At 41.2% G+C, this 24,600-nt stretch overlaps 1 protein-coding gene across 14 annotated transcripts in view; it reads left to right on the top strand.

Moving 5' to 3' along the window:
* Positions 1–24,600, top strand: part of ELMO1 (engulfment and cell motility 1) — a 596,421-nt gene that overhangs the window by 125,453 nt on the left and 446,368 nt on the right. For all 14 annotated transcript variants that reach the window (NM_001206480.2, XM_011515654.3, NM_014800.11 and 11 more), the window contains 2 exons: positions 7,914–7,954; positions 8,952–9,024. In NM_001206480.2, the coding sequence (NP_001193409.1) occupies positions 7,914–7,954; positions 8,952–9,024 (114 nt within the window). The remainder of the gene's footprint in view (positions 1–7,913; positions 7,955–8,951; positions 9,025–24,600) is intronic.

Here is a 24,600-nt window from a genome sequence, read left to right as displayed (position 1 = left end):
CAGGGCATCCTTGTGATCCATGGATCCGCATAATGGGTTATGCAGGACTAAACCTAGAAGACGGCTCAGAGGGGAGACATGGATTTAGAAATTAGTGGTACCAGCATTGTATTATGGGCAAAGGAAAAAGAATATAGAAAGGAAAGCAAAAGACCAATACTCACTTTAAGGAATAGAGAGAGAGATAGATTGAAAATCAGCTGGTAGAGAATTTGGCCATTTTCAATAATCTAGCTTTTGTTTTTTTCCTCTGCCTCCTGGCTCCAAGCAATTCTCCTGCCTCAGCCTCCCTAGTAGCTGGGATTACAGGCGCCTGCCACACCCAGCTAATTTTTGTAATTTAGTAGAGACAGAGTTTCACCATGTTGCTCAGCCTGGTCTCAAAACTCTTGACCTCAAGTGATCCACCTGGCTTGGCCTCCTAAAGTGCTAGGATTACAGGCATGAGCCATCGCGTCCATCCTTAAATCTAACTTACGTTACAAAAATTGGCAATAAATCTTCTTGTGTAGGAAATTTACTTTGTGGACTTACTGTCTTTAGTAAAGTAACAAAGGAACTCTTTTAGAGAAAAAGAGTTAAGATAAAAAGAGGAATACATCCTTAATAAGAAAAGCTACTCCTTGAATGTAGCTATTGACACCTGGTACTTTGCCAGTCAGATTCATATGGAAAGGCATACTTCATTTAACAAATAACGATATTTTTGCAAATGTTAAAATTTCCCCGGAATATACTATAAAGTGAAGAAAGACTTTGATATGCTGCAAGATGACCTCATTGTTGGGAAGGGGAATGGGGAAAAGAATGTGGGGTCATGGCCTCCGTGCTTATGGGCCTTGATCCCCGCACATAGAAATGTGGTAACTGCCTAATCCTCTAAGTTATTCTGAAAAAATTCCTGCTTTTGTTTTTCAGCTCACTGTTGAGTCTGAGAAGGCAGTTTTGATCATCCAAACAAAAAGCTTAAGATATTTAGTGATGATTTGTATAAATTATGGAAACATACTGAAGCAGTTAAAATAATTTGGTCTCAATACCAATTTTTTTTCGAGACAGAGCCTGGCTCTGTCACCCAGGCTGGAGTGTAGTGGTACTATCTTGGCACGGTGGTACTATCTCGGCTCACTGCGACCTCTGCTTCCTGGGCTCAAGCAGTCCTCCCACCTCAGCCTCCCAAGTAGCTGTTACTATAGGCACACGCCACCGTGCCTGGCTAATTTTTGTATTTTTGTATTTTTTTTTTTTTTTGGAGAGAGAGTTTTACTGTTGTCGCCCAGGCTGGAGTGCAGTAGCGCGGTCTCAGCTCACTGCAACCTCTGCCTCCCAGATTCAAGCGATTTTTCTGCCTGCCTCAGCTTCCCAAGTCAATAGGAGTATAGGTCCCCACCACCATGCCTGGCTAATTTTTTGTATTTTTAATAGAGATGGGGTTTCACCATGTTGGCCAGGCTGGTCTCGAACTCCTGACCTCAGGTGATCCATCTGCCTTGGCCTCCCAATGTGCTGGGATTACAGGCGTGAGCCACCACATCCAGCCTTTAATTTTTATATTTTTTGTAGAGATGAGGTTTTGCCATGTTGCCTAGGCTGGTCTCAAACTTCTGAGCTCAAACTATCCACCTGCCTTGGCCTCCCAAAGTGCTGGGATAACAGGCATGGGCCACCACGTCCAGCCCAAATATTTTCCAATAGAGTACAGAAGTTAATTCTTAGGGCCAGGTGTGGTGGCTCATGCCTGTAATCTCAGCACTTTGGAAGGCCAAGGCGGGCGGATCATGAGGTCAGGAGTTCGAGACCAGTCTGGCCAACATAGTGAAACCCCGTCTCTACTAAAAATACAAAAATTAGCCGACTGTGGTGGTGCGTGCCTGTAGTCCCAGCTACTGGGGAGGCTGAGGCAGGAGAATCACTTGAACTCGGGAGGTGGGGAGGTTGCAGTGAGCTGAGATCATGCCACTGTACACCAACCTGGGCGACAACGGGAGACTCCGTTTACAAAAAAAAAAAAAAAAAGGGAGTTACTTTTTAGTTCCTTTTGGGTTTATGGAGTTATAGGGAGAAGAATCAAGCAGTTTCATCATTTTGAACTAAATTAATTTTTCTCCTGGGGCTTTTCTTTTTTCTTTTCTGTGTTTTTTTTTTTTTTTTTTTTTTGAGACGGAGTCTCGCTCTGTTGCCCAGGCTAGAGTGCAGTGGCGCGATCTCGGCTCACTGCAAGCTCCGCCTCCCGAGTTCACGCCATTCTCCTGCCTCAGCCTCCCGAGTAGCTGGGACTACAGGCGCCCGCCACCACGCCCGGCTAATTTTTTGTATTTTTAGTAGAGACGGGGTTTCAACGTGTTAGCCAGGATGCTCTCGATCTCCTGACCTCATGATCTGCCTGCCTTGGCCTCCCAAAGTGCTGGGATTACAAGCGTGAACCACCGCGCCCGGCCTCCTAGGGCTTTTCTTTCAATGAAATGAAAAGCAAATTATTCAGCGGGTCTACAGAAAGGTATTAATATATTATTCATATCACTCTACTCTCAGGTCTTGGAGAATTGGACAGATAGACGTACCTTACGTAACCTTTTGGGCAAATGTTAACTAAAAAGTCCATAAGGCAGAGCTGGCGTTTGGCTTGGAATTTACTGGTCAGGCAATGAGCTCATGTCAGACAGAGGGCTTTCTATAGGAAATGAGAACAAACAAGGATACCAGGCTAGTGTTTTCAAGATAATTGGGGTATCTTGGTCAGTCTTGTCTGCTTATGAGAGTAGAAGGCTCACCTCTTTGGTCATGCTTACTGATGGTGATACTTGTTTGATTGGTATCTGATTTATCATCTGTTGAATTACATTCTTTACCAGCTGGTGTTCAGTGCTCTTCCAAGCCATGAATTGCCTAATTCCTACATGAATCATTCTGCATAGGGAGTAGTGACAGCTTTCAGTGTCTAACAGCTTATGGCCAGCGGCTGCTCACAGTCACCCAGCAGTGGTAGGAAATGGGAAACGTGCTGGTTAATCCAGGCTATCATTAAAAATAGTTGGCTTTTTTTGTTGTTGTTGTTTTTTAAAGGAAAGTTCGTGAATGTATAGATTTTTTTCATTTAGCAGAGGTGTATTGAGTCTCCTATTAGATCCTATTCACACCTACATACTGTGGTAACTAGTACTGAGGGGTGGGGAAGGCTACAGAAATGAACTAAGATGCCTTGTTCTCAAGGGACAGAGAGATAAGATAGATATGTAGAGTCCTCAGAAGTTATTAATTTAATGTGCTAAGTACACAGAGGGAGTAATTACATCTATTTAGGGAGATAAGGGGGCATCTGATTAGAGGAGGTGGCTTTGACATGGATATTAAATGGTAAGTAAGAGTCCCTTGTTAGAGTTGGAACAGAAAGAAGGAGAGGGCCATTTCAACAAAGCAAATGGCATGAGCGAAAGTGTGGAGATGGGATTTTTTTTTGTTTGTTTGTTTTTGGTGACTCACCATAAAGATCCAGAAGCATGGGGAACGTGTACAGAATAGTAGAATTACAGAGACCAGATTGTGGATGGCTTTGGCTGACAAGCTAAGTGACTGACACTTTTTTTTTTTTTTCTTTTGAGACAGAGTCTTGCTCTGTCGCCAGGCTGGACTGCAGTGGCGCTTGATCTCAGCTCACTGCAACCTCCACCTCCTGGATTCAAGTAATTCTCCTGCCTCAGGCTCCCGAGTAGCTGGAACTACAGGCATGGGCCACCACGCCCAGCTAATTGTTTTATTTATTTATTTATTTTTTTTGTATTTTAGTAGAGACAGGGTTTCACCATTTCTGGCCAGAATGGTCTCAATCTCCTGACCTCATGATCCGCCCACCTCCGCCTCCCAAAGTGCTGGGATTACAGGCGTGAGCCACCATGCTCAGCTGGGACTTACACTTTTATTGGAGCAAACGAGTAATATGAGCAAAGTTTGTGGGGAAAGTCTAATTTTGTGTATTTATAGTTGACATGGGGATTGGAGAAAAAAAAATTGGAGATGTGGAGACTTATCTGCAGGGACCTGGTGATGGGATCTTTAGAACAAAGGTGGTAGGAAAGGTCTGGAAAGATAAAAAGGGAGAGAGGTTGTGGAAGAAGTAGTGATGAGACTTAGTGTCTTGTAAATGTGTATGTCACAGAATGTATTAAGGAAGAAAGAGAAGACAAGGACAAGTTCGCTAGAAATGTGCCTCAAAGATCTGCTGAAAGTAGGCAAGTTGAGTGTAGGAACTGATGGAAGGTACGATTTTGGGTTGATTCGCTAGGGAAGCAGTTGATTGGAAATTCATGGCAAATAGTTATTAATGATGGGCTGGTACTCAGGAAAGGGTGCTGGGTCAGAGGAAGCAGAATTAAGGGTGATGAGATTGGGGTGTACGCTCAAAGATCTATTTGATGGCAGGAGTTGGAATGAGGAGAGTCAGGAGTTCAGAAGAAGAGTTAGGCGGTGAGAAGCAATGCTGTGGACATCACAGAGGAAACAGCTACATAACCTGTTAGCACCTTATATCTGAAGAGTGAAGACATAAAGGTTAACGAGACTCCTGGGCAGTAGTGGTGCCATAATGAGGGCAGAGAAGTCGTGGCAGAATCAGGTGTGGGATCTGAGGGATGTGTGCTACCGTTGGGTAGATTGAGGGGTAGGGAATGTGAAAGTGATGATTTTTGTTTCCACTTTTAATAAGATACCTGCAGGAGAGTTAAAATGTTCTGTCTAACAGACTGTTAGAGATTTGCAAGAGAGTGGGGCTACAGCTGTAGACTTAGGACAGTTGAAGAGAATGAGATCCATGAGGAACTGACTGATTAAATAAAAGCAGAAAAGAGGAGAAAAGAAATCTGGAATTAGAGAGCTACAGGTAAAAGAGCAACTATGAAGGATTTGTTGGACTTCATTGAAGGATTAGTTATATGTGTAGGAGAATGAAGAAAATATTGCGCTATATCATAGAAGCTCTGGAAAGGGGGTTTCAAAAAGAAGGAAGTAGTAACAGTGTCAAATAAGGCAGACAGGAAAAGGAAAGTAAGACCGGTGAAAAGGTTATTGGAATTAGTTTTTGGGTGGTGAGGGCTAATGTTTGATTGGGGTAGATGGAAGAATGGAGGGGCCCACCATTATGTAACACTCATTTTGATTGGCTAGGCTAACCTATGGGTGTTCACTCAACTATAATTCTTTTTCCTCTGTGGTTTAGTTTTTCTTTCATCTTTGTCTGTTAAGTCTCTAAGCTTTGTGCATCTGTGGTCTTTATTCCTTTCATATATCCAACTTCATTATGTTCTAGGTATAATAGTACCCTAGAGACCTCTGTCTTTTAAAACTTGATTCTCTATCTATGAATCAGACCTGAATTAAAATCCAAGTAATTCCTCTGAGACTTCAGTCTCTAAGTCTAAATCTGGGAGCAGTTGCTTTTGATGCCTTCTCCTACCTCAACAATACCTTCTTGGCCTGACTTTTTGTTTCAATGTAATTTAAGACTAAAACCTGGCTCCGTTATTTATGTTTCATTTTTGAGGGTGCATGAAGTGAAATTTGGGGAGATTCTCTGATAAGTAATCACAGATCGATGGCCTACAGGGATCTCTGGCAGCTGGAAGGGCAAAATTCTTGTCTTATGGAAATAAGTTTTGTTTCTGAAGTTCCTTTGTCATTTGGTTGAGCGAACACATTTGTTCCTCAGCTCACAGCAAGAGCCATAAACAGTGGACAGCTTCTTGCAAAGGCCTAGGACTTATGTAACATGTAACTACAGTAGAACCCAATTGCCATTGTCATCTTATTCTAGAGGACAGATTCAGGATATAAGGAATACCCCCACCATCTTTCTGCTCCTCAGTAATTCTAGGTTTCCTTTTCTCTCCAACCGCATTCATTTATTTTTTTAACTTTTGTGCGTACTTAGTAGGTATATGTATTTGTGGGTTACATGAAATGTTTTGACACAGGCATGGAATATATAATAATTTTATTGTGGAAAATGATGTATCTATCCCGTCAAGCATTTATCCTTTGTGTTACAAACAATCCAGTTATACCGTTTTAGTTATTTTAAAATGTGCAATTAAATTATTGACTATAGTCACCCTGTTGTGCTACCAAATACTAGGTCTTATCATTCTTTATTTTTTTTTGGAACTCATTAACCATCCCCACCTCTCCCACAAACCCTGCCACTACCCTTCACAGCTTCTGGTAACCATTCTTCTACTCTCTATCTCCATGAGTTCAATTGTTTTGATTTTTCGATCCCACAAATAAATGAGAACATGTGATGTTTGTCTTTCTGTGCCTGGCTTATTTCACTTAACATAATGGCTTCCAGTTCCATCCATGTTATTGCAAATGACAGGATCTCATTCTTTTTATGGCTGAATACTTCATTGTGTATATGTTCCACATTTTCTTTATCCATTCATCTGTTGATGGACTCTTAGATTGCTTTCAAATCTTGGATATTGTGAATAGTGCTGCAACAAACACCTCCAAGTGTGTTTATAGTTGTAGGCGAAGACAGACATTCTTCTGCACACGTGGTAGTGAATGTGCTCATAGAGGATTGAGCTCCAGTGGGAGAGAGTTCACTGGAGGGACACCGTACACTGAACTGGGCCTTTAGCAGGGGTTAGGGAGGCCCTTGGAGAGGACTATACAAACGGTGTTCAGAATTCACCAATGGAGCAGGCGTAGATAGCATCACGTCCAAGGGTGAGGATGCAAGGAGGAAATGGAGCCCTTTCAGGAGTCCTAATCCTTTTTTGAAGTCTTTTGCCCTTTGTATTAATTTAATATAATTAATATAATTTAATTTTTATAACAGCCTGAGGGGTAGGTAGAACCTATTGCCATTTTACAGATAAACTAACTGGGGTTCAGCAAATGAAGAAAATTGCGGTTACTTACGCTGCAAACAAGCTGATAGAGCTGGATTTGAACTGATCTATTGGATTCAGAATCTCTTCGCAGATACCACATTGCCCTTCATATAGACAGGAGTAAAACCTGCTTATATGTAGACAGCTTTTTTATGGTTTTGTATCTGAAAATCCAGGACCATGTATTGTCCATCTCTGATTTCTCATCTTCTCTTCCTCATTCATTTCTTGTCTGTGATTTGTTCTTTGGGTTGACATGATACTCCCCATCCTAGAGACAGACAGGGTCTTGTTTGCATCCAAAACAGGAAGAGTTTCCACATCTCTGGGAGAGCTGGTGTGTCTCTCTGCTGCATTCCTTCTATCTTGGGGGCAGGCGGAGCACAAGTGTGGCTGTTAGGCACAACAGAACAGCTGTAGTCACCCGCCAGTTGACACCAGGGCACATGGTGTCATGGTCGCATTACTGGAGTGTGTCTGGCTCAAGCTGCTGCATGATTGGCATTTATTGGGGCCATCATCAGGGGAAGAATTCTATGTACTTTGTAAGAACCATTTCGTAACACCTCATTTTCCATTTGCCACATGTTCTTATAAAAATATCATGAATCCAGGCTTTTTGCATGAAGCCAAACTGCAGCTTGCCTGATTCATGTACTACTCCTGAGGGATTCTGGTTTTGACTTGGCCTCATGGGCTTCCATTTTCTGTGAGATCTTTGAACAAAGTTATATTTTCACCCTAATTTCAGTGTGGCTAAATTAAATATGATGCATATTTTGTTCAACTAATATGCTAAGTATAGAAAAAAGGACCACAGGGGTAATAAATCATTAATAAATTTGGTGGTGACAGCTGGTAGATTGTTACCTTGAGAAAAATAAGAGACTCATTGACAACAACTAAGAATAGCAAATGTAAATTCTCTTTGCTTAGATAATCTTTTTATGAAGCTTCTTCTTTTTTTTAATTTAAAATGATGAAACGAAACTAACAAGTATTTCCTTTTTTGTTATTTTGCAGAAAAAACCACTGTCTGCAATAATAAAGGAAGTCTGTGATGGGTAAGTGTTACTCAGGATTTATCTAAGGCATTCTAGTTGATAAATTGACAAGCAAATAATATATTTCCAGTAGGATAGTAAAATATTATTCATAAGTCACCCACTGACTTGCTCAAAGTCAATAAGAATTACTGTGTAGGAATATCACACCCTTTTCCAACAGAATTCACCATTAGTCCTCAAAGAGCAGAAAGTGTGAAATGGCTGTTATGTGCACAGTGGGGTTGGCTTTATTTATTTTAGGAAGTTGTGTTCCTTTTGTCCTACCTAGCAGGGAGTACTCTAAAGGTTTTTGAGGACACAGTATACACTTGATCTGGTATAAACTGAGAGGACCACTCAGGTCCCCATAGAGGATGAAAGAATTGAACAGACAAGGCAGTGGGTAATTGTGCTGCTCCGTGGGATCTCACACTGATATGACTTTCCTACTTCTTTGTGGCTGCTCTAAAGAATACAAAGGAAATGTATATATGGTAGCTGCATGACTTTGTTTTTTTTTAAACCAGAACTGTGAAAATAGTTGTGTTAACTGAAATTTATATAAGGTCTAGAGTACTTAATTGGAGTGTTTCAATCTGCATCAACTATACTGATAGGGGATTGTAGAATACAGAGACAATTAAAATGTGCCAACTTTCAAAAACTTAAATTGCATTTATTTTCTTTGTTTTTCTTTCTTTGCTTCAATCCCTTAAAATAAGTAGAATTGTAAAGATTTGTATTTAAATCTCCCACACCAAGCCTTGAGGATGAACTGCTTAAAGGTGAGCAGTAGGCCTAGCATCAGGTCTAGACAGTCTACACATGAAATGATTGGTCTCAGGGTAATGGAAGGTAGGCTAAAGTCATTTTGCTTTAGGAACTGCATTGTGGTATATGTTGGGATTGGTCCAATTCCAATCACAGGGTGCTTAGTTCATCCAACACTAAAAAATTGTAAAAATGAAAATGGCCACTTTCATTTTTCTAATCAGTATACGCTTGTATTTTTAAGGTGGTCTCTTGCCAACCATGAATATTTTGCACTCCAGCATGCCGATAGTTCAAACTTCTATATCACAGAAAAGGTAGGTCAACTACATTATTTAATATGGGATACATATTGAAGGAAAGTAAATCATGATGATGTTTTCTTTGTTCGGGCCTAGACATGCAGGTCTAAATTTTAGGTCTCTACTATCCACGAAAATAGAGTCTGTAAAGCAAACAACTGCTACTTTAGAATCCACAAGATGATATTTGCCAGCTCAAGAGTAAAGACCAAATATGTTTCGTGTCTTGTTTAGCAACTGCAGTTGCCTTCTAACAGTGAATATGTCTCTCTTACTGCTTGGTTAAAGAATTTATTTGATACTTAATGACTTAGTTGGGTTTTCCTTTCTCAGATTTTGTTTTTTTCAAAGTAGCCTCTAACCCTTGCTTAAAGTACGTGAAATAATGACAAGAAACCTTTTCAAATGTGGAATTATGTATGTAGGCACTAAGAGTGTTCTATGAATCTTGGGAACCCAGCTCTCTCCTTGGGTGATTTTAAATCTTTTTTAGCAAGATTAAAGGAGAAGGAGGGATTTGTGAAGACAGCAATGGCCCTGGGAGCAAGTAAAATTAATATGTACAAGATCCCTGATAGAGGAAGGGCACACTGGAATTTATTGAGTGCATACTGCATGCCAGGAACTGAGCCATGCACATTACATCTGTTTAGGATTTCTTCCTTAAGACTAACCTGGGCTATAAAAATACTGGCTTTGGTTAACAGGTACGACACTGAGTCATTGAGGACAAATGGTTAGACTAATGCTTCATACTTGATTCTACAAGAAGCAAGTTTAGACTTTTGTGCTTCTTTGATTTTTGTCTTTTGGAATTTCCACAATAGTTTCGCATCCGACACAACTTTAGGTTGAGCTCACTGAAATGCATATGAGCCAGTTTTGTCTTCTAAACTGATAATCTTGGGGGCCAGCAGGGAGGGAAGGAACAGCCCTGGTAACAGCTGTCATTATAACAAGGTGGCCAGTGCTGAAACAGAAGTGAGTACAAAGTACTCTTGAAGGAGGGAGAATCGGGTGGCCTCAGGCTTCAGTGTCTTGCAGGCTTTGTCCCAGTCAGTAGTCCCTAGAGTGACTGTAATTTTATCCATGAATCAGGTGGTGGTAGAAGGTGGAGGCAGTAACAAGGGTTCTACTTCCCCTTAGGACTCCCTTGCTCTACCCCAAAGAAGGAGGGAGGGCATTCAGTTCAGCAGGAGAGAGGCCTCAAAGGCCTGAATGCTTCTCAGAAATTGCTTCGTTCTTCCCAGATGAACACTGGGAATTTTGTAACTGATGCTGTTTTCTTCTTCACGTCAAATGTTTCTTTGTAACATTGATTGTTACAAAGCTGGGAACTGGGCCAGGTGCGGTGGCTCACGTCTGTAATTCCAGCACTTTGGGAGGCCAAGGGCGGCAGATCACTTGAGGTCAGGAGTTCGAGATCAGCCTGGCCAACATGGTGAAACCCCGTCTCTACTAAAAATACATAAATTAGCTGGGTATGGTGATGGGCGCCTGTAATCCAAGCTGTTCGGGAAGCTGAGGTGGGAGGATCACTTGGACCTGGGAGGCGGAGGTTGCAGTGAGCAGAGATCGTGCCACTGCACTCCAGCCTGAGCGACAGAGCGAGACTCCATCTCGAGAGAAAAAGAAAAAACAAAGCTGGGAGTTAACAAGTGAACTTGATTTCCTGGCATGCCTTGTATATTAAGTTTACCTTTGATTCCTTTGACTTAAACGTTTAGTTTCCTGTCTCTATTTTCCCTTTGCTTCAGTTTCTTAATGTTTTTCATTTATTTTATACTGCATCTATATAATTTGCATGCTATTCTTTGTGAGATTAAAGAGGTTATATAGAAATCCAAGTTAAATGATAGCAGTTAAAGGTATTGCCATCATTTCATTCATACCAGTTAGTGAGTAGTGAAATCAATTCAGTTAGTTGTCAGAGCATTAAACACTGGAACATAGTAGAGTAGATTAGGTCAGAGTATATCTCCTGTGTTGCTTGTGAAATATTTGTTCCACCTACCCACATGTATAATACATGTAGATTACACTGGTGATTTACCCTGGGTTGTGGTAAAAAAGCTGTTGAGTCGTGAATAGTTCTGGCTGTGAATAATCTGTGCTAGTAGATGGCCCCTGGTGGTGTCCTGTCTTCTGTCACCATTGTCTGGAGACCTCAGTGTAGTGAAGATTACTAAAGATGGGGTTCTCAGACTTCATAGAGAACATAAGCATGGTACAGTGAACCCTTAAAAAAATATGTAGGGCTTTAGATCCCAACCCCAGAGACTCAGAGTGAGTGGGACTTGGATATAGCCTAGGAGTTTTCATTTTTAAGGCACCCTCTGGGCAGTCTCATGCTGGATACCTGGAACCACTGGGAGAAACAGCCCTGGGGCCTATTTTCTAAAGAGTTGGAACCCATGTGTACAGGACATTATGCCTTCTGTCCAGAAGTTGTGCACAAAGTTCAATTTAGGAATGTGGGCTGGGCACGTGGTTCACATCTGTAATCCCAGCACTTTGGGAGGCCAAGGCGGGTGGGTCACCTGAGGTCAGGAGTTCGAGACCAGCCTGGCCAACATGGCAAAACCACGTCTCTACTAAAAATACAAAAATTAGTTGGGTGTGGTGGCACATGCCTGTAGTCCCACTCAGGAGGCTGAGGCAGGAGTATCACTTGAACCTGGGATGTGGAGGTTGCAGTGAGCCAAGACTGTACCACTGCACTCCAGCCTAAGTGACAGAGCAAGCCTCCATCTCAAAAACAAAAACAACAACAAAAAACAAAGTATGTAGGAATGTGTTTGTGTGCTGCCATTTCTTGGCATAATTTGAAAATTATTAACATCATATAATGGTTATGCTTTTTTCCTGATTAAAATTCATATATACTCAGAACATTCAAACTATTGAGAATGGAGGAAATTATTATTTTATGGTGTATCTTAGTTATTTTCTGGGAATCTTGTTTTGCCTGAGGACATTCTTGAAGTTGAGTTTATAAAGGACTGGCCACAAAGTCTGTCATGGAGTTTTTCATCTTCAGTGGGCTGTAGCAGAGATTATTCTTTTATGAAGAGTTTAAGGAGTGAGAAGACTCATCTTCCCTATCGTAGTTCTTTGTTTGTAAATACGGTGTCATTGCTCTTCCTCATGCAGCTGTCACTGGGCACAGCTGTGGGTGTGCATGTGTCACGGAGCTCAGCACGCACAGAGCAGGAGATGACGGTGACTCCTGGCTCCACAGGGTCGATCCTGGGCTGCCTTCAGTTTGCTGCTTTGTCCATCTAGTTCCTTGCAAGTATTCCTAAAAATACAGACATTTTTTCCCATTTTAAAAATAATGTACTTAGCATCATCTTGGTTACTTACAGCCCAGTGATTTGTTAGGTTATATTTTCATCACCATGGTAACCAGTGACTCATTTTTGAAACTTGTGCATGCTGTTAGTTACTGATTTTCCCTTATATATGAGACTGTCTCTGTCTTTTCGCTGAAGATGAATATCACCTTCAGAAAATTTTTTTCAGAAAAAAAAAAAATTCTCTAGCTGGCCAAACAATCCAATAGAAATAGTGGTTGATGGATGCTTGTGATTCTCTTCTAAGATCCTCCGGAAGGCACTTTCCCTGCTTTTCTAATGTTCTCCAAGCCCATTTTTTGAAATAGTCTTCCTTTGCTTATTAGGCCATTAACTGAGGTTTTTTTTTGGTGCAGTGGGGGAAAATGTCATGTTAAGTAGCATTCAGCAGAAGCATTGCTTGGAAATGCCTCAGAGAAAGTTAAGATTCAATGATTCACAAGTTCAAATTCTGCTCTAGAAACTTAACTATTTCAGGGTGATGTCCAGGAGAGAGAGAGAGGGAGAGAATAAAAAATGATAAGTGAAGGGTATGTTTAGGTGGAATTTGTCTTTTGAATAAGAATTCTACTGAGACAGCACTAAGCATTGTTAGTTTATGACCCTCATCACAGTCCAATGATGCAGGTATTGGTGTCTTCATTTTACGAGAAAAGTGAGACTGAGAGAGGTTACTCAACAACTTGTGGGGGTTGTACAGGTCAGAAGTGGACAAGCTGAGACTTGGACCCAGGTGGGTCTGAACCCAGAGCTCTCTATGCCATCTCTGAGAAACCCTCTGTACCATTGCCTCAGCCCCAATTTGTTTATGATGCCCTTTCTTTGGGCATCACTGTCATCAAGCCAGTGATCCTAATGGTAACTGCCTCAAAAACAATAAATACAGGAAGTTACAGACTATGAACACTGGTTACCAGCTTCAGTCTGTGGCTTCCTTATTCCTTCTGAGGGTAACTTGGAGGAAGTTGTAACAGGTAACCTTCCACTTACTAGAGCTTCACAAAGTGCATTTATATTTGCCTTTGGTATGGATCGTATAACTGCCTAAGGCAGTATGATTGCACGAATACCATTCTTTTTAGACAAACAGGAAAATTGCCTTGTCATCCCTAATCCTAAGCATGTATGGAGATGAGTCCCCAGAAAACACAGGGCACAGTAGAGGAAAGCCATGAGGAGGTTAGGTTGTGTGCTTGTGGATAATTGAGATTTTATTATGATTGCAGGATGATACTCACTTCCTCCATACTGAGACCTACTCTAGCATGTATGAAGTATAGTGATGTATCGCTAATGTCTTATTTAGATAAATTCCATATCTTGTAATCACAGAAATACGCTAAGCCTCATTCAGGCCCTCTCTGCAAAGCTGGCCCCAGGCACCTTTGGTAAGGAAGTAGGGTTGTTTGGGGGGCACCCCCTTTTTTGTCTTTCCCACTTCCTAAGTGCCCTGGGTTCTCAGACAGCCCCTGAACCTCCCAGAATCCCTGGCAGCCAGAATTGTGCACTCCCTTGGATTTGTACATTTCATTCTGGTCAGGAGATGATTCCACTATTTTGCAGAATTCAGTTCAACTATCATGCTTTGGTAGATCCAGCTGTAAGTAAGCAGGGTAATCCCAGTCTCCAGAAAGGATTGAAGCTTAGAGGTAAGCAAGGATGAAGGCCTGGGAGGGAATCAAAGGAGATGGACAGAGAGAAGCCTGCAGTCCTATTTTCCAGCTCTGGTTTCTGTGCTTCCTGTCTTTGCATCCTTGTGAGAGACCTGCTGTGACTTTTCAGTCCCCGCCCCTTTGCTTAAATCACTTTATGCTTGTCTTTGTTACCCTCAATCAAAGAGCTTTCTCTAGGGCAGGCATTTTAATGTGAGCAAACTCACGCCCAGGAAAGCTGTAAATTTCCTAAACCAGCCAAATACCCTATACAACATTCCCTTTCGTGCTGCCTTTGGTGAAGGACTCTGGATTTGATCAACTGAAGTCACTGTGGCTGCCTCAGCAAGACACACCAGCAGCCCTGGGCTAGCTCCTGTTGGGCCAGTCCACAGGCAATAATGGGTGGAGAAAAATGTTCCTGCCTGATATGGTTTGGCTGTGTCCCCACCCAAATCTCATCTTGAATTGTAGCTCTCATAATTCCCACGTGTTGTGGTTGGGACCTGGTGGGAGATAATTGAATCAAGGGGGAGGTTTCCTCCGTACTGTTCTCGTGGTAGTGAATAAGTCTCTTGAGAGCTGATGGTTCTATAAGGGGAAACCCCTTTCTCTTGATTTTCATTCCCTCTCTTGTCTGCTGCCATGTAAGATGTGCCTTTCGCCTTCCACCATGATTGTGAGGCCTCCCCAGCCACATGGAACTGTGAGTCCATTAAACCTCTTTTTCTTTATAAATTACCCAGTCTCAGGTATGTCTTTATTAGCAGCATGAGAACGGACTAATACACTGCTTTTCCCTTTGGCCTGTCCCTTTATCTCTTCAGGGTTTCCTGACTCCAAGCATTTCTCCTGTGCTGCCTCTTCTTCCTGTTCTGAGACCCTGCTGCCTAACATGCCTAACATGCCTAACATGGGTCTCCTCTGTTAAACCCATGTCTTGCTACCCAATTATTTCCTTTTTGCCTGATGACCAAACCTGATTTCTGCTATGGATGTTGCGTGGATGCCCAAAGGCTGCTTGTATTCCTGTCCCCAGCCTTTGGCAAGCACTGGACTCTCCTAGACAGGCTGCTTATCTGGGCTCTGCCACTCATCATCTGGGCAGCCAGAGAGAAATGGACATGCTGGGAGGAAAAAAGCCACATGTGAACACATCCAATAGAGGAGACTAGAAGTGACTCCCCAGTGTGTGCCAGGTACTGTGCTAAACCCTGGGGATATCTCTAACCTTCCTGATAATCACAGACAAAATAAATCTTTACCTGAAATTAACCAGTTACAGTGACAATGAGTGCCACAAAGGAGAAATGTGAGTGTCTGGGCCTAATTAAGCCTTGAGGAAGTGACATTTAGGCAGAGATCTAGAAAGAAAGGAGGGAGGATAGATGGGAACCTCTTAAAGTGGGCTAGATTGATGGTGTGCAGAGAAATAGTGATAAAGCCAGCGTAGGACCATCCAGATGTGGCTGGAAAGTTTTGCATATGCCCTGATTGTCAAGGCTTTTTAAGGTCATCTTAAAGATCTTGAACTTCATCCTAAGATCATAGGGAAGCCTTGAGATGGTTTTAAGCTGGACTTGATGACAAACGATTGGATTGCAGACTTCCTTGTGATTACTCTGAATACACTCTGTTGGAAGAATTGTCAGCCTATGGCAGAAACAGTGAGAAAACTGTTGAATGGAGAGGAAAAGAATGCATGGGTGTTTTATTTTTTAATTAATTAATTATTTATTTATTTGAGACAGAGTCTTGCTCTGTCGGGCAGGCTGGAGTGCAGTGGCGCAATCTTGGCTCACTGCAACCTCCATCTCCCAGGCTCAAGCAATTCTCCTGCCTCATCCTGCCAAGTAGCTGGGATTACAGGCATGTGCCACCATGCGCGGCTAATTTTTGTATTTTTAGTAGAGATGGGGTTTCACCATGTTGGCCAGGCTGGTCTTTTAATTCCTGACCTCAGGTAATCTGCCCGCCTCGGCCTCCCACAGTGCTGGGATTACAGACGTGAGCCACCACACCCAGCTGCATGGTTGTTTTAAAATTCGCATAGAGATTGACAACAAATGCTGGGTAGCACTTTGAGTCCAAGGAAAACATAGAACGAGATGATAGTCTTAAATGTCTGCCTTCGAAGAGCTTACTATCTATTATCTCCTTGACAGCTTGGCTGAGGGTAGTAATGATACACTGCAGTTGAATAAAACAGCTCATTTTATTTATTTCCAAAGTGATATCTTCTTGATAAATTTGCCTGTTTACACAGCCTGATAAAATGTTAATATTCGGTTACCTGATGTATTCATTCCTGTCCTTTCTCATGCTGCTATAAGGACATACCTGAGACTGGGTAATTTATAAAGGAAAGAGGTTTAATTGACTCACAGTTCCGCAGGGCTGGGTAGGCCTCAGGAAACTGACAATCACGGTGGAAGGGAAAGCAAACATGTCCTTCTTCACATGGAGGCAGCAAGGAGAAGTGCAGAGTGAAGTGGGGAGAGCCCCTTATAAAGCCCCTTATAAAGCCATCAGGTCTGTGAGAACAGAATGGAGGTAACCACCCCCATGATTCAGTTACCTCCCATCGGCACGTGGGAATTATGGGAACTACAGTTCAAGATGAGATTTGGGTGGAGACACAGCCAAAACATGTCACCTGACTAATTTATATCAAATTTTAACTTCCCCTTTGGACATACCTAATTTTAGGATTCAGACACTCCTAGCATAGGACTTTAAGAAGGAGAAATGGATTTGCCCAGATTTGACAGTTAATGTGCTGCAATGAGAAAGATAATTAAGGTACAGTCCTTGTCTCCATAGAGTTTTCAATCTAGAGGAAGATTGGGTTGATAACAATTCCAGTCATTGGGGTAATTAGAAGGGGTCCTGTGTGAAGAGATTATTAGGAATATGATTTTTGAGTCACTAGGTTTATAATTTGACCATATGATTCTGTGTACCTTAAAAAACCTTTTGACTAGGATATGAACTCTTCTTTTTTTTTAACATCATAATTGAGGTAAGATTTATACACCCTAGAATTTGCCCATGTAAAGTGTACAATGCAATGGTTTTTATTATATTCATAGAGTTCTGCAGTGCTTTATTTTTTTGATAGCAAAGCTGTGATATTTCCACCTCCAGTATTTTCATCTTCCAAAGCTCTTAGCCTTAAATGTAGATTTTGGCTCCAAATTTAGAGATTTGGATTCTGTAGTTCAAGGCTAAGGTTCAGGCATCTTTAACAAGTACAGCTGGTCCTAGTACCAAGCTCAAACACTTTCCAGTGGAACAGTGAGCAGCCTTTGGATCTTTCCACTATTCCTGCATGAGATGAAAAACCATATTTTGAATTCATACTGGCTTGTAGGCATGGACTCCCCATGCACTCCCTGAGCTGAGGGTGTCATTCTGATTGGTTTCCACTGTTGCCAACAGAGAATGAAGTCCAACCTCCTTTCTTAAGCCAGTGTTCAAGGTGCATCACAAGTCAACATTTTCAATTTTATTCTTTCTCTTATTCCTTCAATTTTAGCCAAACTGCTGTAGTGTTCTCTAAATATATGTTGATTTGTCTCCTTGGTGTAGCTTTACTAACCTGGAATTCAGTTCTCTTTATCTCCCTCCTATTATTTCAGGTACTAGATTAGGTGCTAAGGATAAAGAGATGAAATGACATACTCCTTGCTTCGAAAGCTGAATCTTAGAAACAAACACACACCTAGGAGCAATATCATTTAAATGACTGCCATTTCAGGACAACAGTTCATCCTCTTCTTACCAATCCTAAATTGTTTGAGCTGGAAGAAACCCTGGCTTCTTGCCTAACATAACTGTAGCCCCACTTTTGGAGATTCGTCTCTTAATTCAGTCCTCTTATAAATCTCTACCCCTCCTCTCTGCTGCTACAGGTATTATTGTCTACTAGTTCTTTTTCTCTCAGGTATCTGTTAGCTGATCAGGACCTACATCGCTTTATCGTTGTCTTGAACTGTTGTTTAACTATTTCTGTGCTGATTTATGTTTTCCTCTCAGCAAGGTTCCAAGTACTTTACAATCAAAAACTGTATATTCCAGCTCTGTGTCTCACGTGGTTCTGTGAATATAATATGTAGGTGTTGGAAGATTGTGGGTTTTATGTTACATAGTTTTCTTTGTAAGATAAGAATACAATTAGTTGCTTAATAAATTATGTATGATGTTGGTTAATTCAATTACCAGAAGACGCACATACACATTAAGATTATTCACAGTGGAGAAATTGTAGAGTGAATAAATGAATCTTAATGTTCCTCTTAGAGTCTTAAAATGGTGTTAAAAAGTTTAGTTTGGCTTTCAGTCTGCAACAACTGATTAATTACCTTTTGAAAAGAAATATGCACATACACACACACACACACACACACACTATCTGTACTGTGCTGGATATTGACCAAAAATTCTTAAAAGATACAAGGGAAATAAGGAACAGAGACCGTCTGGTCCCTTATAATATACAAATAACCATCACGATGCAGATCATCAAACAGTAATACAGTTTCAAAGTATTATCACTTTTGTTCTCATTATAGCAAATAACGTCCTCTAAGAACCAAATGGTGTTTGTGAGAGATAATGTACTCAAAATTATGTTACTGCTCAATTTTGAGAAAGTGAGTTTTACTTTATTTCACCCTAGGCTAAGATCCATTAATAATCACATGACTCACCATCTTCAGTTCTTTATTTCAGGCAGTTGGCTCTGTGGGAGCAGCATCACAGAAGAGTAGAGAGAATTGTTGGCTTACATACATACAAAACTTTAGAGCTTCTGTGAAGGAAAACATGGGCACTGACTTAGAAACCTTGCCGATATTTTCTCCCCTACCCCCCACACGCTTTTTCATTAAATAAAGGAAAAACTTTGCACAGTCACACTCCACTGTGGTGACACATTTTCCAATAACCGAGGAACAACTGAATGCAACTATTTGCAGTTAGAATTCTCTGTACGTATGTGAAAACAAGCCACTTAAAACAAAACTTGGAGCAGCAATTTTGGAAAACAGGAAAAACTCTGAAATATGCCATCTAGTTTGCTTGCAACACAGAAATCGTGAACCAAGAGTGTTTTACTTTCTTTTCTTTCTATTTTTTTGGAGACAGAGTCTCGCTCTGTCGCCCAGGCTGAAGCGCAGTGGCGCAATCTCGGCTCACTGCAACCTCCACCTCCCGGGTTCAAGCGATTCTCCTGCCTCAGCTTCCTGAGTAGCTGGGATTACAGGCGCACGCCACCACACCCAGCTAATTTTTGTATTTTTAGTAGAGACAGAGTTTCACCATGTTGGTCAGGCTGGTCTTGAACTCCTGACCTCAGGTTATCCACCTGCCTCAGCCTCCCAAAGTGCTGGGATTACAGGCGTGAGCCGCCGTGCCCAGACGCCTCTGCCCTTTCTCAATCCATCAAGCACAACTTGTGAAAATTGAAGTGCATATGTACACACACACACGCACACACACACACCCTCACACACCCTCCTCAGATTGTCCTGACTTCCCCTAGGAGCTATCCAGCCCTGGCATTGGGCTTCAGCCAGCCATTCCTCTTTCCATCATCGTCACCCCTCTTTTGCCCTGGTGTCTTTGCTCATAGTGACTCAAACTAAATTGGCAGTAGACTTTCTGAAGCTGTCTCTAAAAACATTTTTGGGTGGTTTTAGACTTTTCTAATTAGAGTTTGGGAACTGGATGGGAGCTATCATTTTAAATCATTTGCTATGTTTCCTCTAGAGAGGACTTGGAAGCATATATACTTATTTCAGGATGAAGAAAAAAAAACAGCCTAAGTTGAGTCACCTAAATGAGAGGGAGCTCGGAAGAGCAGGGCAGCGACCGCCACCAGCATTACTCAGATGTCGGTGGGTTTTATGACATGTTATTTAATGTTTACACTGACGGTTGGATAGAGGCTATAACAAGATGATTACACAGGCAGCTAACTTTGTAGCTTAGGCTCCCTAGCTTATGCTTGGTAAGATGCAACTGCCTCTAGAATTGCAGGCAAGGACAAATGCCAGAGGTCATGATCATTCCATGTTCTCCAGTTCAGCTATGAAACTAATGAATAGATTGACTGAAGTACTGAAACATTTAACTGTGTAATGCTCAGATACAGAATGAGTGACACGTGGGTTTCCTCCAAACAGGCACTTCTTTACCAAAAATGACCCTAAAAACACCAGAACACTTTTTCCAAACAAAACTAACTACAGTGAAAAGCAAAAACCATTATTAGTAAAGAAGATTACTTCTAAGAATGGCTCTGTGATTCTTATAATTTGTTTCAAGGCCAGAAACTTAATTGCAGATCTTCTAAGCATACTCCTGTTCATGTTTTTATACTTCTAAAATGAGATTTATTGTTGAACAGCAATCAGATTATGTTGGGCAAAGTTTTGAAATATACACTGTGTATATTTTTGTGTGTTTGTGTGTCATGGGTAAATGAAATATCGATGAAAAAATAGTGACTTTACTACTTGGAATGCCTTTTTGTTGTTTTTAGTCTGTTTTCTATTTTTAAAATATTTGTTAGAACCCATCAGGATGATTTTATGACTACTGATGGTTGTGCTCCACAGATGGAAAAACATTTCATTACACTCTTTGCTCTACAAGGTCAGAAACAAAGCTAGATTCCTTTACTTCGGTTATCCCAGTGTCTAGCACAGTGCTCTATAAACATTTGTTTAATGGAATAACGAACATCTACTATGAGCATAAACTGGTGACCCAAGGGCAGGCATAGGGGGCAGGCATGAAAAAGACCAAAAAGAAAAGGAGAAATAGAAGAAAGGTAGAAAGTTAGGCGGAAAGTCTGGGGAGAGATAAGAGGAAGATGAACTTATCTCTACCCAGGAAAGGTAGTGTGCCTGCAACTCTTTTCTGGAGGTGACACTCAGTAACATTAGGGCCCTAGGTTGCCCATTCTTTCCACTGTGATCAGAATCAAGTTACAATAATTTATTGTCTGATTGTTTCTTTCTGATCCCCATTGTTCTGGTTATCTATTGGGGCATTAAAAAACACCCCAAATTTAGTAACCTAAAGCAAAAATTCATTATCAGTAGAGATGATTACTTATACTCACTGTTTCTCCAGGCCAGGATTTGGACATGACATCTTCCCATCCATGATGGCTTGTCTCTTCTTGATGTCTGGAGTCACAACTGGGAAGACATGAATAGCTGGGGGCTAGAATCATTTGGAAGCCTCTTCTTCACTCATGTCTGGCTTCTGGGCTTGGATGCCTCAAAGACTGGGCTCAGTTGGGATGGTAAACTTGAGTGCCCTACATATGTCCTTTCCATGTGGCTTGGGCTTCCCCACAGCATGGTGGCAATGTTCTGAGAAGGAGTTCCAACAAGAGGGCACTTCCAGAGAGGGAGTGTTTGAAGAGAACCAAGCAGAAGCTGCATGGCTCGTTATGACCTAGCCTTAGAGGTTTACAGGATCATTTCTGCTGTACTTTATCTCTCCAAGTAGTCACAAGCCTGCCCTGATTAGAGGGGATGAGACATAGCCTGGTGCATGGCACACACCTGTTGTCCCAGCTATGGGGACTGAGGTGTCTGCAGGCTGTGTTGAACTGTGATTGTACCTGTGAATAGCCACTGCACTTCAGCCTGGGCAATATTGCTAGACTCTTGTCTTTAAAAAAAGGGGAATGGAGGTGGGACATAGACTCCTCCTCCCCATGGAAGGAGTGGCAAAGAATCTGGGGGCTTTTTAATTAAACCACCCATCATTTCTTTACATTTCTCTTTCAGGGAAAAGTTGTCAGATAGGTATACTATTTTCCAGAAGTTATCCGAAGGTTAAACTGTGTCTTTTACTTTTGCAATTATTTAACTTTTTAAACCAAGAGGAAGGACAAAGAGATAAAGTAAGAAAAATAGAAGAAAGTGTGCATCATACAAACATAGAGCAGCAACAGTGAGGTAATTTTCTCCATTGATAAATGATAGAGATCTATTGCTTCTTTTAAACGTGGGGTGGGGGAACAATAATCGTGTAAACCAAGAAATTTAGAGGGAGTTTATTTGGCACTTTGATATTTACACCTTCTTTTGAGCACAATTTTGGGAGAAATTGGGATTCACCGCCTTTACCATGTCTGAAGATTAAAGTCAAAAAATAAAAGTGACTGCTTTGTTGCCATCAACTGCACTTGTAAAGCAGTAACGATTCTTTATTTTTCCAAGGCAGCCTTGTTCTTGGTGCTTTGACTGAGAGAAAGGGCTGGAGAGGGGTGGGTGGGTGGGTGAACTGCAGCTCTTTACTGTCTCTGGGAATGGCGTAAGTCAAGGCAACCTTGGTCATCAAGCACAAGCTTCATTTGCTTTTGAACTCCTATGGGGGAGAAATACTACAAAACACAAACTTTAAAAGTGATTCATTGTGATCTTATCTGAGATTTTTCATTTCATTAGGAGATAAAGAGGAGAGAATAACTTCCTCTTCCAATAGTTTTTTTTTTTTCTGATATATTCTCATTTCTCATTTTTTCTCTGCTCCCTAATGCTTATTTTTCTTTCTCCTCTGGCCCTTTTCCTTCTGATTGTTTTTCCTTCCTTTCCTTCTCTCCATGACTTCATTCTTATTTTGCTCCATCTCTTCCTCACTACCATCTCCTTTATTGAGTTATTAGCCATCTTTTTAAAAACTTCCTAGTCTTACAACAAAAAATGATAAAGGGGATATCACCACCGATCCCACAGAAATACAAACTACCATCAGAGAATACTACAAACACCTCTACGCAAATAAACTAGAAAATCTAGAAGAAATGGATAAATTCCTCGACACATACACTCTCCCAAGACTAAACCAGGAAGAAGTTGAATCTCTTAATAGACCAATAACAGGAGCTGAAATTGTGGCAATAATCAATAGCTTACCAACCAAAAAGAGTCCAGGACCAGATGGCTTCACAGCTGAATTCTACCAGAGGTACAAGGAGGAACTGGTACCATTCCTTCTGAAACTATTCCAATCAATAGAAAAAGAGGGAATCCTCCCTAACTCATTTATGAGGCCAGCATCATTCTGATACCAAAGCCGGGCAGAGACACAACCAAAAAAGAGAATTTTAGACCAATATCCTTGATGAACATTGATGCAAAAATCCTCAATAAAATACTGGCAAACCGAATCCAGCAGCACATCAAAAAGCTTATCCACCATGATCAAGTGGGCTTCATCCCTGGGATGCAAGGCTGGTTCAATATACACAAATCAATAAACATAATCCAGCATATAAACAGAGCCAAAGACAAAAACCACATGATTATCTCAATAGATGCAGAAAAAGCCTTTGACAAAATTCAACAACCCTTCATGCTAAAAACTCTCAATAAATTAGGTATTGATGGGACGTATTTCAAAATAATAAGAGCTATCTATGACAAACCCACAGCCAATATCATACTGAATGGGCAAAAACTGGAAGCATTCCCTTTGAAAACTGGCACAAGACAGGGATGCCCTCTCTCACCACTCCTATTCAACATAGTGTTGGAAGTTCTGGCCAGGGCAATTAGGCAGGAGAAGGAAATAAAGGGTATTCAATTAGGAAAAGAGGAAGTCAAATTGTCCCTGTTTGCAGATGACATGATTGTATATCTAGAAAACCCCATTGTCTCAGCCCAAAATCTCCTTAAGCTGATAAGCAACTTCAGCAAAGTCTCAGGATACAAAATCAATGTACAAAAATCACAAGCATTCTTATACACCAACAACAGACAAACAGAGAGCCAAATCATGAGTGAACTCCCATTCACAATTGCTTCAAAGAGAATAAAATACCTAGGAATCCAACTTACAAGGGATGTGAAGGACCTCTTCAAGGAGAACTACAAACCACTGCTCAAGGAAATAAAAGAGGATACAAACAAATGGAAGAACATTCCATGCTCATGGGTAGGAAGAATCAATATTGTGAAAATGGCCATACTGCCCAAGGTAATTTACAGATTCAATGCCATCCCCATCAAGCTACCAGTGACTTTCTTCACAGAATTGGAAAAAACTACTTTAAAGTTCATATGGAACCAAAAAAGAGGCCGCATCGCCAAGTCAATCCTAAGCCAAAAGAACAAAGCTGGAGGCATCACACTACCTGACTTCAAACTTTACTACAAGGCTACAGTAACCAAAACAGCATGGTACTGGTACCAAAACAGAGATATAGATCAATGGAACAGAACAGAGCCCTCAGAAATAACGCCGCATACCTACAACTGTCTGATCTTTGACAAACCTGAGAAAAGAAATGGGGGAAAGGATTCCCTATTTAATAAATGGTGCTGGGAAAACTGGCTAGCCATATGTAGAAAGCTGAAACTGGATCCCTTCCTTACACCTTATACAAAAATCAATTCAAGATGGATTAAAGACTTAAACGTTAGACCTAAAACCATAAAAACCCTAGAAGAAAACCTAGGCATTACCATTCAGGACATAGGCATGGGCAAGGACTTCATGTCCAAAACACCAAAAGCAATGGCAACTAAAGAGCTTCTGCACAGCAAAAGAAACTA

The sequence above is a fragment of the Homo sapiens genome, chromosome 7, assembly GCF_000001405.40.
Source record: "Homo sapiens chromosome 7, GRCh38.p14 Primary Assembly".
Classification (NCBI taxonomy): Eukaryota; Metazoa; Chordata; class Mammalia; order Primates; family Hominidae; genus Homo; species Homo sapiens.
Note: the sequence above shows the minus strand (reverse complement) of the source record. Positions and strands in the feature narration are given on the sequence as shown.